General features: G+C 36.6%; 1 protein-coding gene across 27 annotated transcripts in view; it reads left to right on the top strand.

Annotated features, from left to right (window-relative positions):
• Positions 1-15,746, top strand: part of LMNTD1 (lamin tail domain containing 1) — a 172,497-nt gene that overhangs the window by 102,927 nt on the left and 53,824 nt on the right. The window contains exon 2 of one of the 27 annotated variants that reach the window (XM_011520587.3): positions 15,617-15,697. The exons of the other annotated variants lie outside the window; for them this stretch is intronic. Coding sequence (XP_011518889.1) covers positions 15,695-15,697 — 3 coding nt within the window. The 5' untranslated portion in view covers positions 15,617-15,694. The remainder of the gene's footprint in view (positions 1-15,616; positions 15,698-15,746) is intronic. 27 annotated transcript variants of the gene reach the window in all.

Here is a 15,746-nt window from a genome sequence, read left to right as displayed (position 1 = left end):
ATCCTTCATTCAGTACCTACTATGTTAAAATGATGAGCAGTTTGGAACAAAATAAAATGTTCAAAGCTTCTGTTAAAATGCAATCCTATTAAAAATGGTGGTGTAGAAGCAAGATGTCTTCAATCCCTATCCAGCCACCCCAGAAAACAAAAACAAATATACAGTGCCAAGATTATCATTATCATCAGCAGTATCTCAGAACTCAAATATGAGGATGAGACAATTCCTGAGGCCACAGAGAAGTGAGAAACACTCGTATAATAATTAAGCTCCCCAGAGGTCAAGGACAAAGAGAAGAAGCTAAAAACTGTGAGAGAAAAGAATTTGTCTAGCAACAGACTTCTCAGTGGAAACCATGTAGGTCAGGAGGTAATGAGACAATGTTTTTAATGTGTTAAAACCCTGCTATCCAAGAATAGTGTATCCAGCCAAGCTATCTTTCAAATATGAGGAGATAAAATCTTTCCCAAACAAAAGCTAAGAGAATTCACCACCACGAGACCTATCTTATAAGAAATGCTAAGGAGAGTTCTTCAATCTGAAACAAAAAAACACTAATGTTCAAAAAGAAAACACCTGAAAGTATAAAACCTCTGGTAAAATTAAGTACATGGAAAAACCCAGAATTGTAATTGTGGTATACAATCCACTCATTACTCTAGCGTGAATCCCAAAAGACAAATCTATCAAAAACAGTAATAGCTATAGCAGTCTGCTAAGAGATAGGCAGTATAAAAATACGTAAATTGAGAAAACTAACAGTCAAAATATGGAAGGATGGAGTTCCAGTCTAGAGATTTTTTCTTTGTTTCTATTCTTTCTTTTTTTCTATTCTTTCCTTTGTGATTCAAGGTAAGTATTCATCTCTTTAAAGTAACTTGTTATAGCTGTAAGATGTTTTTTGTAAGCCTCATGTAACCACAATGCAAAAACCTATAATAGATTCACAAAAAATAAAAAGCAATGAATTAAAATATACTACCAAAGAAAATTACTTAACCACAAAAGAATATAGTAATAAAGGACAAAAGGAAGAGACAAATTATAAAACAACCCAAAAACAAGAAATAAATTCTTCTTTTCAATAATAATACTTAATGTAAATGGACTCAATACTCAATTTAAAGGCATAGAGTGGCTTAGGGATAAGGAAACAAAATCCAGCTATATGCTGCCTAGAAGAAACCCACTTCACCTACAAAGGCATACAGACTGAAAGTGAAGGGATAGAAAAACTATTCCATTCAACTGGAAACCAAAAAAGAGTAGGAGTAGCTATACTTAGATAAAATAGACTACAAATCAATGACTATAAAAAGAGACAAAGAAGGTCACTATATAATGATAAAGGGGTCAATTCAGCAAGAAGATATAATAATTATAAATATCTGTACACCCCACACCAAAGCTCCCAAGTATATAAAGCAAACGAATAGATTTAAACAGAGATATAGACTGCAGTACAGTAGTAGGGCACTTTAACATCCTATTCTCAGTAATGGACAGATGAACCAGACACAAAAATCACGAAGAAACATCAGAGTTAAGTTGCACATTAGACCAATGAGGCCTGACATGTGCAGAACATTTCACCCAATTGCTGCAGAATATACATTCTTTTCATCAGCACGTGGAACATTTTCCTGAATAGACTCTCTCTTAAGCCACAAAACAAATATCAAAAAAGTAAAAATTATGTCAAGTACTTTTGTGACCACATTGGAATAAAACCAGAAATCAATTCTTGGAACTTAGGAAAATACACAAACACATGGAAATTAAGAAACACAGTTCCAAGCAACCAATGGATCAGTGAGGAAACTGAGAAGAAAATTTAAAAATGTCTTGAAACAAATGGAAATGGAAACACAACATACCAAAATCTCTGGGACACAAAAAAAAGCAGTACTAAAAGGGAAGTTTATGGCAATAAATACCTATATCAAGAAAGAAAAGCTTCAAGTAAACAATCTAACAACGTATCTCAAGGAGAACTAGGAAAGCAAGAAAAAAAAAACAAACTGAAAATTAGTAGAAGAAAAGAAACAATAAAGATCAGAGAAAAATAAATGAAATTGAGACCAAAAAATATAGATCAACAAACAAAAAGTTGGCTTTTTTCCATGGTGTTGGATTGTATCAAATACTTTCTATGCATCTAGTGAGATGATCATATGGTTTTTCTTTTTTAATGTTAAACATCCCTTCACTTTTACCATAAATATTTGGTCATAATGTTTATGTTTTACTATACTGTTTGAATTCCATTTGTTAAAATATTGCTTCAAACTTTTGCATCAATGTTTGTAAAGATTATTGGTCTGTAGTTTTCTTTCCCTGTAATGTCCTTGTCTGTTTTGGTATCACGGTAATTCCACTGTTTATGGAATGAGATGGGATATAGTCTCTCCTTTATCCTTTTCTAGAAGAGATTGTGTAGAAGTAATTTTTTTTCATAAATGTCTTATAGAACTTATTGGTGAAGCCATCTGGGCCTGGAATTTCTTGGTGGTAAAGTTTTAAAACTATAAATTGTTTTTAAATAGATATTAGGCTATTCTAATTATTTCTTCTTGAATAAGCTTGGGTAGTTTTTGTCTTTCAAGAAATGTGTCCATTTTTATCTAAGTTGTCCAATTATTTGCATAATGTCATTTATAATATTCTCTTATCCTTTTAAGAACTGTAGAATCTTTATTGGTATCACCTTTCTCATTTCTCATATGGTCATCTGTATCTTCTCTTTTTCCTGATCATATCACTAGAGATTTAGTTTTATTGAGCTCCTCAAAGAACATGTGTTTGGTTATATTGGTTTCCCCTATTTTTTGTTTTTTATTTAATTGATTTTCATTTTGGGCTACATTCCCTTTCTTCTGTCTACTTTGGGCTTTTTTTTTCTTCTTTTTTTATTTAATTTATTTATTTTTATTATACTTTAAGTTTTAGGGTACATGTGCACATTGTGCAGGTTAGTTACATATGTATACATATGCCATGCTAGTGTGCTGCACCCACTAACTCGTCATCTAGCATTAGGTATATCTCCCAGTGCTTTCCCTTCCCCCTCCCCCCACCCCACAACAGTCCCCAGAGTGTAATGTTCCCCTTCCTGTGTCCATGTGATCTCATTGTTCAATTCCCACCTATGAGTGAGAATATGCAGTGTTTGGTTTTTTGTTCTTGCGATAGTTTACTGAGAATAATGATTTCCAATTTCATCCATGTCCCTACAAAGGACATGAACTCATCATTTTTTATGGCTGCATAGTATTCCATGGTGTATATGTGCCACACTTTCTTAATCCAGTCTATCATTGTTGGACATTTGGGTTGGTTCCAAGTCTTTGCTATTGTGAATAATGCCGCAATAAACATACACGTGCATGTGTCTTTATACCAGCATGATTTATAGTCCTTTGGGTATATACCCAGTAATGGGAGGCTGGGTCAAATGGTATTTCTAGTTCTAGATCCCTGAGGAATCGCCACACTGACTTCCACAATGGTTGAACTAGTTTACAGTCCCACCAACAGTGTAAAAGTGTTCCTATTTCTCCATATCCTCTCCAGCACCTGTTGTTTCCTGACTTTTTAATGATTGCCATTCTAACTGGTGTGAGATGGTATCTCATTGTGGTTTTGATTTGCAGGTCTCTGATGGCCAGTGATGGTGAGCATTTTTTCGTGTGTCTGTTGGCTGCATAAATGTCTTCTTTTGAGAAGTGTCTGTTCATGTCCTTCGCCCACTTTTTGATGGGGTTGTTTGTTTTTTTCTTGTAAATTTGTTTGAGTTCATTGTAGATTCTGGATATTAGCCCTTTGTCAGATGAGTAGGTTGCAAAAATTTTCTCCCATTTTGTAGGTTGCCTGTTCACTCTGATGGTAGTTTCTTTTGCTGTGCAGAAGCTCTTTAGTTTAATTAGATCCCATTTGTCAATTTTGTCTTTTGTTGCCATTGCTTTTGGTGTTTTAGACATGAAGTCCTTGCCCATGTCTATGTCCTGAATGGTAATGCCTAGGTTTTCTTCTAGGGTTTTTATGGTTTTAGGTCTAACATTTAAGTCTTTAATCCATCTTGAATTGATTTTTGTATAAGGTGTAAGGAAGGGATCCAGTTTCAGCTTTCTACATATGGCTAGCCAGTTTTCCCAGAACCATTTATTAAATAGGGAATCCTTTCCCCATTGCTTGTTTTTCTCAGGTTTGTCAAAGATCAGATAGTTGTAGATATGTGGCGTTATTTCTGAGGGCTCTGTTCTGTTCCATTGATCTATATCTCTGTTTTGGTACCAGTACCATGCTGTTTTGGTAGCCTTGTAGTATAGTTTGAAGTCAGGTAGTGTGATGCCTCCAGCTTTGTTCTTTTGGCTTAGGATTGAATTGGTGATGCGGGCTCTTTTTTGGTTCCATATGAACTTTAAAGTAGTTTTTTCCAATTCTGTGAAGAAAGGCATTGGTAGCTTGATGGGGATGGCATTGAATCTGTAAATTACCTTGGGCAGTATGGCCATTTTCACAATATTGATTCTTCCTACCCATGAGCATGGAATGTTCTTCCATTTGTTTGTATCCTCTTTTATTTCCTTGAGCAGCGGTTTGTAGTTCTCCTTGAAGAGGTCCTTCACATCCCTTGTAAGTTGGATTCCTAGGTATTTTATTCTCTTTGAAGCAATTGTGAATGGGAGTTCACTCATGGTTTGGTTCTCCGTTTGTCTGTTGTTGGTGTATAGGAATGCTTGTGATTTTTGCACATTGATTTTGTATCCTGAGACTTTGCTGAAGTTGCTTATCAGCTTAAGGAGATTTTGGGCTGAGACAATGGGGTTTTCTAGATATACAATCATGTCATCTGCAAACAGGGACAGTTTGACTTCCTCTTTTCCTAATTGAATACCCTTTATTTCCTTCTCCTGCCTAATTGCCCTGGCCAGAACTTCCAACACTATGTTGAATAGGAGCGGTGAGAGAGGGCATCCCTGTCTTGTGCCAGTTTTCAAAGGGAATGCTTCCAGTTTTTGCCCATTCAGTATGATATTGGCTGTGGGTTTGTCATAGATAGCTCTTATCATTTTGAAATATGTCCCATCAATACCTAATTTATTGAGAGTTTTTAGCATGAAGGGTTGTTGAATTTTGTCAAAGGCCTTTTCTGCATCTATTGAGATAATCATGTGGTTTTTGTCTTTGGCTCTGTTTATATGCTGGATTACATTTATTGATTTGCATATATTGAACCAGCCTTGCATCCAAGGGATGAAGCCCACTTGATCATGGTGGATAAGCCTTTTGATGTGCTGCTGGATTCGGTTTGCCAGTATTTTATTGAGGATTTTTGCATCAATGTTCATCAAGGATATTGGTCTAAAATTCTCTTTTTTGGTTGTGTCTCTGCCCGGCTTTGGTATCAGAATGATGCTGGCCTCATAAAATGAGTTAGGGAGGATTCCCTCTTTTTCTATTGATTGGAATAGTTTCAGAAGGAATGGTACCAGTTCCTCCTTGTACCTCTGGTAGAATTCGGCTGTGAATCCATCTGGTCCTGGACTCTTTTTGGTTGGTAAGCTATTGATTATTGCCACAATTTCAGATCCTGTTATTGGTCTATTCAGAGATTCAACTTCTTCCTGGTTTAGTCTTGGGAGAGTGTATGTGTCAAGGAATTTATCCATTTCTTCTAGATTTTCTAGTTTATTTGTGTAGAGGTGTTTGTAGTATTCTCTGATGGTAGTTTGTATTCCTGTGGGATCGGTGGTGATATCCCCTTTATGATTTTTTATTGCGTCTATTTGATTCTTCTCTCTTTTTTTCTTTATTAGTCTTGCTAGCGGTCTATCAATTTTGTTGATCCTTTCAAAAAACCAGCTCCTGGATTCATTAATTTTTTAAAGGGTTTTTTGTGTCTCTATTTCCTTCAGTTCTGCTCTGATTTTAGTTATTTCTTGCCTTCTGCTAGCTTTTGAATGTGTTTGCTCTTGCTTTTCTAGTTCTTTCAATTGTGATGTTAGGGTATCAATTTTGGATCTTTCCTGCTTTCTCTTGTGGGCATTTAGTGCTATAAATTTCCCTCTACACACTGCTTTGAATGCGTCCCAGAGATTCTGGCATGTTGTGTCTTTGTTCTCGTTGGTTTCAAAGAACACCTTTATTTCTGCCTTCATTTCGTTATGTACCCAGTAGTCATTCAGGAGCAGGTTGTTCAGTTTCCATGTAGTTGAGCGGTTTTGAGTGAGATTCTTAATCCTGAGTTCTAGTTTGATTGCACTGTGGTCTGAGAGATAGTTTGTCATAATGTCTGTTCTTTTACATTTCCTGAGGAGAGCTTTACTTCCAAGTATGTGGTCAATTTTGGAATAGGTGTGGTGTGGTGCTGAAAAAAATGTATATTCTGTTGATTTGGGGTGGAGAGTTCTGTAGATGTCTATTAGGTCCGCTTGGTGCAGAGCTGAGTTCAATTCCTGGGTATCCTTGTTGACTTTCTGTCTCGTTGATCTGTCTAATGTTGACAGTGGGGTGTTAAAGTCTCCCATTATTAATGTGTGGGAGTTGAAGTCTCTTTGTAGGTCACTCAGGACTTGCTTTATGAATCTGGGTGCTCCTGTATTGGGTGCACATATATTTAGGATAGTTAGCTCTTCTTGTTGAATTGATCCCATTACCATTATGTAATGGCCTTCTTTGTCTCTTTTGATCTTTGTTGGTTTAAAGTCTGTTTTATCAGAGACTAGGATTGCAACCCCTGCCTTTTTTTGTTTTCCATTTGCTTGGTAGATCTTCCTCCATCCCTTTATTTTGAGCCTATGTGTGTCTCTGCACGTGAGATGGGTTTCCTGAATACAGCACACTGATGGGTCTTGACTCTTTATCCAATTTGCCAGTCTGTGTCTTTTAATTGGGGCATTTAGTCCATTTACATTTAAAGTTAATAGTGTTATGTGTGAATTTGATCCTGTCATTATGATGTTAGCTGGTTATTTTGCTCGTTAGTTGATGTAGTTTCTTCCTAGTCTCAATGGTCTTTACATTTTGGCATGATTTTGCAGCGGCTGGTACCGGTTGTTCCTTTCCATGTTTAGCGCTTCCTTCAGGAGCTCTTTTAGGGCAGGCCTGGTGGTGACAAAATCTCTCAGCATTTGCTTGTCTATAAAGTATTTTATTTCTCCTTCACTTATGAAGCTTAGTTTGGCTGGATATGAAATTCTGGGTTGAAAATTCTTTTCTTTAAGAATGTTGAATATTGGTCCCCACTCTCTTCCAGCTTGTAGGGTTTCTGCCTAGAGATCCGCTGTTAGTCTGATGGGCTTCCCTTTGAGGGTAACCCGACCTTTCTCTCTGGTTGCCCTTAACATTTTTTCCTTCATTTCAACTTTGGTGAATCTGACGATTATGTGTCTTGGAGTTGCTCGTCTCGAGGAGTATCTTTGTGGCGTTCTCTGTATTTCCTGAATCTGAATGTTGGCCTGCCTTGCTAGATTGGGGAAATTCTCCTGGATAATATCCTGCAGAGTGTTTTCCACCTTGGTTCCATTCTCCCCATCACTTTCAGGTACACCAATCAGACGTAGATTTGGTCTTTTCACATAGTCCCATATTTCTTGGAGGCTTTGCTCGTTTCTTTTTATTCTTTTTTCTCTAAACTTTCCTTCTCACTTCATTTCATTCATTTCATCTTCCATTGCTGATACCCTTTCTTCCAGTTGATCGCATCGGCTCCTGAGGCTTCTGCATTCTTCACGTAGTTCTCGAGCCTTGGTTTTCAGCTCCATCAGCTCCTTTAAGCACTTCTCTGTATTGGTTATTCTAGTTATACATTCTTCTAAATTTCTTTCAAAGTTTTCAACTTCTTTGCCTTTGGTTTGAATGTCCTCCCATAGCTCAGAGTAATTTGATCATCTGAAGCCTTCTTCTCTCAGCTCGTCAAAGTCATTCTCCATCCAGCTTTGTTCTGTTGCTGGTGAGGAGCTGCGTTCCTTTGGAGGAGGAGAGGCGCTCTGATTTTTAGAGTTTCCAGTTTTTCTCTTCTGTTTTTTCCCCATCTTTGTGGTTTTATCTACTTTTGGTCTTTGATGATGGTGATGTACAGATGGGTTTTTGGTGTGGATGTCCTTACTGTTTGTTAGTTTTCCTTCTAACAGACAGGACCCTCAGCTGCAGGTCTGTTGGAGTACCCTGCAGTGTGAGGTGTCAGTGTGCCCCTGCTGGAGGGTGCCTCCCAGTTAGGCTGCTTGGGGGTCAGGGGTCAGGGACCCACTTAAGGAGGCAGTCTGCCCATTCCCAGATCTCCAGCTGCGTACTGGGAGAACCCCTGCTCTCTTCAAAGCTGTCAGACAGGGACATTTAAGTCTGCAGAGGTTACTGCTGTCTTTTTGTCTGTGCCTTGCCCCCAGAGGTGGAGCCTACAGAGGCATGCAGGCCTCCTTGAGCTGTGGTAGGCTCCACCCAGTTCGAGCTTCCAGGCTGCTTTGTTTACCTAAGCAAGCCTGGGCAATGGTGGGCGCCCCTCCCCCAGCCTCGCTGCTGCCTTGCAGTTTGATCTCACACTGCTGTGCTAGCAATCAGGGAGACTCCATGGGGTAGGACCCTCCGAGCCAGGTGTGGGATATAATCTCGTGGTTCGCCGTTTTTTAAGCCCGTCAGAAAAGCGCAGTATTCGGGTGGGAGTGACCCGATTTTCCAGGTGCCGTCTGTCACCCCTTTCTTTGATTAGGAAAGGGAACTCCCTGACCCCTTGTGCTTCCCGAGTGAGGCAATGCCTCGCCCTGCTTCGGCTCGCGCACGGTGCGTGCACCCACTGACCTGCGCCCACTGTCTGGCACTCCCTAGTGAGATGAACCTGGTACCTCAGATGGAAATGCAGAAATCACCCGTCTTCTGCGTCGCTCAGGCTGGGAGCTGTAGACTGGAGCTGTTCCTATTTGGCCATCTTGGCTCCTCCCCTACTTTGGGCTTTATTTGCTTTTTTTTTCTCCCCTAATTTTTTAAGGTGAAATTTGAGGTCATTGATTTGATACCTTCTTCTCTTTTGATACTACAGATATTTGGTGTTATAAACTTTCCTCTAAGTACAGCTTAGTGGCATCCCACAAATTTTAATATATTGTATTTTTATTTTCATTCAGTTCAAAATACTTTCTAATTTTCATTTTCTTTTTTATCCTTGGGTAATTGAAAAGTGTGTTATTTAGTTTCAAAGTGTTTTACAGATTTTTCAGTTCCAGTGATTTTCCAGATATCTTCTTGTTATTGATTTCTAATTAAATTCCATTGTGGTCAAAGAACATACTTTGTATGACTTGAATCCTTTTATATTGACTGAGACTTCTTTTATAGCCAGGATATTAATTATTCTGGTAAATGTTCCAAGTACACTTGAAAAGAATATGTATTCTGCTGTTGTTTAGTAGAATGTTTCATGTCAACCATGTCATGTTGGTTGATAGTGTTGTCTACTGTCTTTTTGCTGATTTTTTTGTCTACTTGTTGTATCAATTATTGAGAGAGGGGTATTAATATCTACCAAAGTTGTGGATTTGTTGATTTCTCCCTTGCAATTCAATCACTTTTGTTTCATGTATTCTAAAGCTTTGTTATTAGATGTAGAAACAGAAACATTTAGGAATGTTACATCCTTCTGATGAATTGATCCTTGTATCATTATGAAATGACTTTCTTTATCCTGGCAATATTCTTTGTTCTGAAATATATTTTGTCTGATATTAATATAGCCACAGGAGCTTTCTTTTTACTGGTGTTAGCATGGTATATATTTTTCCATACTTTAACTTTTTAACTATTTGTGTCTTTATATTTAGAGTGAATGTTTTGTAGGTAGCATATAGTTGAGACTTGCTCTTTTAGCCAATCTGAAAAATCTCTGTCTTTTCATTGGGGCATTTAAACTATTTACATTTAAGGCTATCATTAATATGATTAGGTTTAGTCTACCATCTTGTTATTTGTTTTTTCTTTGTCCCAGTTTTTCTCATTTCTTCAATATTTTCAAGATCTTGCTCTACTACTTTTGTCTAAATTGTTTCAATAAATTTTCTTTCATTTTTGTATTTGCTCCTCTGCACAAATATTCTGCTTTTAAGATGTTCTCATTATCATTATTTTTGGGAGATTTGATTATGATGTGCCTGGTGTAAATTTCTTCAAATTTCCTATGCTTGGGGTTGTTATGCTTTTTGATTAGCATATTTATATATTTTGAATTTTAAAAATTTGGGAAAATTTTTACCATTATTTCTTCAAATATTTTTTGTCCCTGCTTCCTCTCTCCTTTTAAGGGACTCCAATTTCACATATATTAGGCCACTTGAAGTTGTACCATAGTTTACTAATGCTCTGTTATTTTTTATCTTTTTATGTACTTTTTCCTCTGATTGTTTCTTTTTGGATGGTGTATATTGTTATGTCTTCATGTTCACTGATCTTTTCACCTGCAATGACTACTATTATGTTAATCCCATCCAGTGTATTTTTAAATCTCAGTCATGTCTCTACATTTTGAACATACAAATACAGTTATAAGGATTTTTCCTTTTCTACTGTTTCTAACATCTGTGTCAGTTCTGCATCATTTTTTATTGATTTTTCTCCTTGTTATGGGTTGTATTTTTCAATTTATTTGCATGCCTGGTAATTTTTTATTGTATGTCAGAAATTGTGGATTTTGCCTTGTTTGGGGGCTAGAATATTTTTGTATTTCTATGAATTTTCATTTCTTGAGTTTTGTTCTGGGACCCACTTAAGTTACTTGGAAATAGTTTGAGGCTTTAAGGACTAGCTTTTACAGTTTGTTAGGTGGAAACAAATCAATGTCTTCACTTTGTTATTAATTATTCTCCACTAGTGAGGCAAAAGTCTCCTTAGTACTGTACACAAGGCCCCATTAATTATGAGCTTTTTCAGTCTGGCTGGTGGGAACTTCCTTACCCTGTGACAGCTTCAAGTACTGTTCCTTCTAATCTTTTCAAAATAGTCTTTTTCTACAGTCTTGGGGCATTTACTCAAATACATGTGCTGATCAGTCTTCTGCTAAATACTCAAAGGGGACCATCTGAAAATCGCCAGCGCTCTTTTTGCAGCTTCCCATGTCTGATACTCTCCTTGTGACCTCCAGCCACCTTGGTCTCCCCAGACTCTCAGCTCCATCTCCTCAAGTCAGAGAGGATGCACCCTCCATGATGCAGCCTTGAAATTTTCTCGAGAAATAATCTGGGGAAATTTTAAGTCTCACTACATTTCTCTTCTGTCTCTCAAGTATCACTATTCTTTGTTGACAAGTATCAAATATCTTCAAAAATATTGTTTCATATATTTTTCCAGATTTTTAGTTGTTTCAGATGGAAGGCTAAAGTCACTTCTTGTAACTTCATCTAGGCTGGAAACAGAAGCTGATTCTCAATTTGGTTGTTTTCAATCAAAGCTGTTGTTTCTTTCCTACTACCACCCACTATCTCTAGGGATTTGTTTAATATCTGACAGCAGAAGGAAAAAAAAAGGAGTTGTAGGCAAACAGGAAACAAAGTAGAGACATTATTAGGATTTTCACTAGTTACACTATATCCAAGACCTTACCTTGGCTTCAAGTTTAGTTCTAGATGTCTCAGGTGTGATCAAACTATATTAAGAAGGCTAACTTCTCATTCATCCTCCATCTCAACCTCTAAGAAATTCTGCATCCTACAAGTCTAGAGTCAAAATGATAGTAAGCTCTGGATTCAGATGGGCCTCACTGAGATCATGATAAACACACGAATGGTTCTGGTTTAAAACAATTTTGAGGCTGCAAATATCCTCATCTTCCCAAAGGATTCTTATTCAGACTAAACCCCATTTATTCTTCCCTTGGATGATTTAGAACCTTGTCGTAGTGATGTACAAATTTACATCTCCATTACATTAAGGATCTACCATCAAAACTTTCAGGCGTGAGGGCTCTTGTAGTACCAATGAACTGAATTAAGTTCCCTGAATCTTTCTAACTTTGTCCTTTAAAAATTTAAGGACTCTTAAATGCTGTACCCTTTCATCAGCCCATATATCCCCAACTACAAACACCTATATAGGAAATGTTAGGTATATACAGGTTGGAAGAACTGGAACTTCAAAGATAATTTTAGCAAACCGCAGAATATCAAAAAACCTAAAAGCAAATAAATAGCATGGAGCTATCAAGGAGAGCCCAACAAATAGATAAATTAGTGCTTAAATAATGGAAAGTAATTTTGTTTAAAAAGTGACTTAGCCATGTTTCTCCTCAATCTCTTTACAAATAGAGACTGTGCAAAGGCTACTGATGGTGATTGCAACATCACTCTCCACTCTCAGTCAATCACAAATTATAAGTAGAGGTCTCAGGTCACTTTCCTATTAAAGATAAATGGGAAGGCTGGCAGGGAAGAGAAAAAGATAACTACTAAAGGCTGTGTGACAGCAGATTAACAGCCTGCCTCTGTGAATTTCCATGCATTGATCTTATATCAAAAAGAAGGCAAATAAAGTGCTCTGATATGGACAATGTTGTTTTTTCCTTCAGACAAGAACATTTATTCTATGTATATGCATAAAATAAAAATTTGAGGTTAATAAATAAGCACTTTGCTTGTATAATGAAGGATTTTTGAAAAGCAACTGTAAATATCCAGTTATATGTATAATAACAAAGGAATAGCTGAGCTATTCCAGGGTCTTATCTGTTTAAAAACAAAAGTCAAATTAGTGCTCATCTTCCCAGGCAGAAAAAGCAAGTCTGAAAAACAAAAGGATGTTCTGTCAAAAAATAAAAACATCCTGCAGAGAATTTAGTAACAGTAAGATGAGGATGACACAAAGGAGTTCCAGGGATGTCAAAGAGTAAAATGCTACATCCAAAATTTGGTAAGAACCATAATGATAATGCAAAAGAAAAAGAAGAAGAAAAGAAATTATGACATAAATTGTTCAAAAGTGAACCTCTGTAAAAAAGGCATTCTCATACAATGTAGGTGAGACCACTATTTTGAAGGGAATTTGATAATGTATATCACGAGATTTCATAGAAGGTTACACCCATTAATTTCATAATTCCTCTTCTGAGAGACAAAATCCAGAGTGATAGCCTGACATTTAGAGCCACTTTTCTCCTCAAAACAGCTGCCAATTTTGAAAGCCGCAACTAAGAGACTGAGAAGTTAGAGGTTTTTCTCAAGATTCGTATGACTGGGTGAATAAAAGTTGGCATTTAGGGCCTATAAAAAAAATGGAGGGTCACTTGAGGCTTTCAGTTGAAACTTCAAGGAAAGATGGAAGAGTAAGTCTATATGCAAAACAGACCAGTACAGTGTCCAATTATTTCACATTTAATTTAAAGTGATTTGTTCCCAACTTAGATGCCTACCAGAAGCAAAAGTAAATCTTGAGTGAAAAAATATACAGAACCTTAAATTATCTCTGCAGTTTTTTCTCTGTAATACTAGGCACTAAACAAAAACAAACAAACAAAAAAAACAACGTATACAAAAGATAAGAGTTGACCAAACACCAAGATTAAAAGTGGACACCAGGAACAGGTGGATAAGGTCCAGACATTGTAGTCTTCTGACCAGGATTTCAAACTAACAATGACTAAAATATTCAAGTAATTAAATGATAAGATAAAAATTTTAACATAAACCTGGGAACTAAAAGAATCATAAACAAGTTCTAGAAGTAAAAAAAATCCAGTAACGGAAATTAATATTTCAGTAGGTGGGTTTAACATTACATTTGATATAGCAGAAGAGAGAATCACTGAACTGGAATATTCTCAGAAGTAAATATCTAGACTGAATCACAGATAGCAAGGTTATAAATAAGTATAAGAGACGAATAAGGCAAGATTTTGTTTTAATCTACTTCTAATTAAAGTCACTGAAGGAGAAGAAAGATTGAGGTAGAATGGTATTGATGGAAACACAGAAGAAGATTTTCCCAGACTAATGAAAGACATCAAGCCAAATATTCAAAAAGCACTACCAACATCTAGCAGGCTAAAAGAAAACAAGCCAGCAAACAAACCAGGTACATTGTTTAAAAAAAACAAAAACAAAAACACTTTTTAAAACAGAAGACACAAAAAAAGTCTTAAAGTCAGCCAGAGAAAAAGGACATTTACCTTCAAAGAAACAACAAAAATATTGGCTGGCAGTTGGTTTATCAACAGAAAAATAGAATAACGAGACACTAGACTAAATATCCAATGAAAACATTGGGACTGAAACTGCAGGCCAACAGGGCAACATTTCTGACAAACTGACTCTAAAAATCACAAGAAATATATATTAGTGTCCTATTGCTGCCATAACAAATTACCACCAACTTAGTGACTTAAAATAACATGAATAGCACCCACTTATTAACACATAGTTCTCTAGGCCATAAATCTGGGTTGTCTCAGCTGATTTCTTAAGAGTCTTACAAGGTCAAAGTTAAGATGTTAAATAGGCTCTTATCTGGACACTGAAATAAATCTGCTTCCATGCTCTTTGAGGTTGTTGGCCAAATTCAATTCCTTGCTGTGATAGTACTTCCTTACTAACTGTCAGCATGCAGTCACCCTTAGCTTCAAAAGGCCACTCCCCAGTCCTTGCAGATGGGCCGCTACATCTCAGAACCAGCAACAGTGCATCGAATCCTTCTCGTGCTTGGATTCTCTCTGACTTCCCTCCCGCTGCAGCTCTCTTCTGCTTCCAGTTGGAGTAAATTCTCTAATTTTAAGGTTCATTTGATTAGATTAATTCCACCTGAATAACCTAGGCTACTCTCCCTGTCTTAACATTCATAACTTTAGTTATATCTGCAAAGTCCTTTTTGCCATCTAACATAACATATTCACAGGATCCAGAGATTAGAGATAGACATCTTTGGACAGCTATTTTGCTTACCACAAAGGGTTAAAGTCTAAAAAGAGTTAACACAATATTGGAAAAGAAAATGAGAGGGGACTTGTCCAACCAAAATCAAGACTTCATCTAAAACAATATAAATTAAAACCATTTGGCATACACACAGGATGAACAGCTAGATCAACGGAACAGCTAGGAAGCCTTACAATATTCAGAAACTGGCTGTTTGACTAAGGTGACATTACAAATCAGCAGGGAGATGATGGACAATCTAATTAACTAGGAAAATTAGCTCCTTATATGAAATACACTCTCACACACATATATACATACAAACAAAGCTGTTCAAAGCAAATTATTGAAACGTTTAAAAGAAAATATGACATAAGAGCAGGGAAAGATTTCTTATATAGGACACCAAAAGCAGAAACTATAAAGAAAAAGATGGATAAATTTTATCACAGTAAAAATTTTAGAAATGTAAACTATACCATAAGAAACATTATAGATGAAGTATTTTTAAAGTCTCTTCTTGCAGAAAATATGTGCATATAATTAAATACTATGCTACGAATACCATAAATAAATTATAAAAATGTAAATTCAGAAAAGTGAATGAAATGATATGAACATGCAGTTCATCAAAGAGGAAAACTGAGTAGCCAATAAGCAGCTTGTGCAACTGCACTATAATCAGGGAAAAACAAATTTAAATACAATGAGATTCCATTTTGTACCTATGATAGGAAAATAATAAGAAGGCTGAAAATTTGAAGTGTTTATAAGGACATGGGAAACAAGAAGAGGAAATAGTATGTGTGTGCATGGTGAGTGAAGCCTGCAGCAGCATGAATCATGCTCTTGCAAGGAATTCTT

The sequence above is a fragment of the Homo sapiens genome, chromosome 12, assembly GCF_000001405.40.
Source record: "Homo sapiens chromosome 12, GRCh38.p14 Primary Assembly".
Taxonomy (NCBI): domain Eukaryota; kingdom Metazoa; phylum Chordata; class Mammalia; order Primates; family Hominidae; genus Homo; species Homo sapiens.
This window is presented reverse-complemented; position numbering and strand designations above follow the sequence as displayed.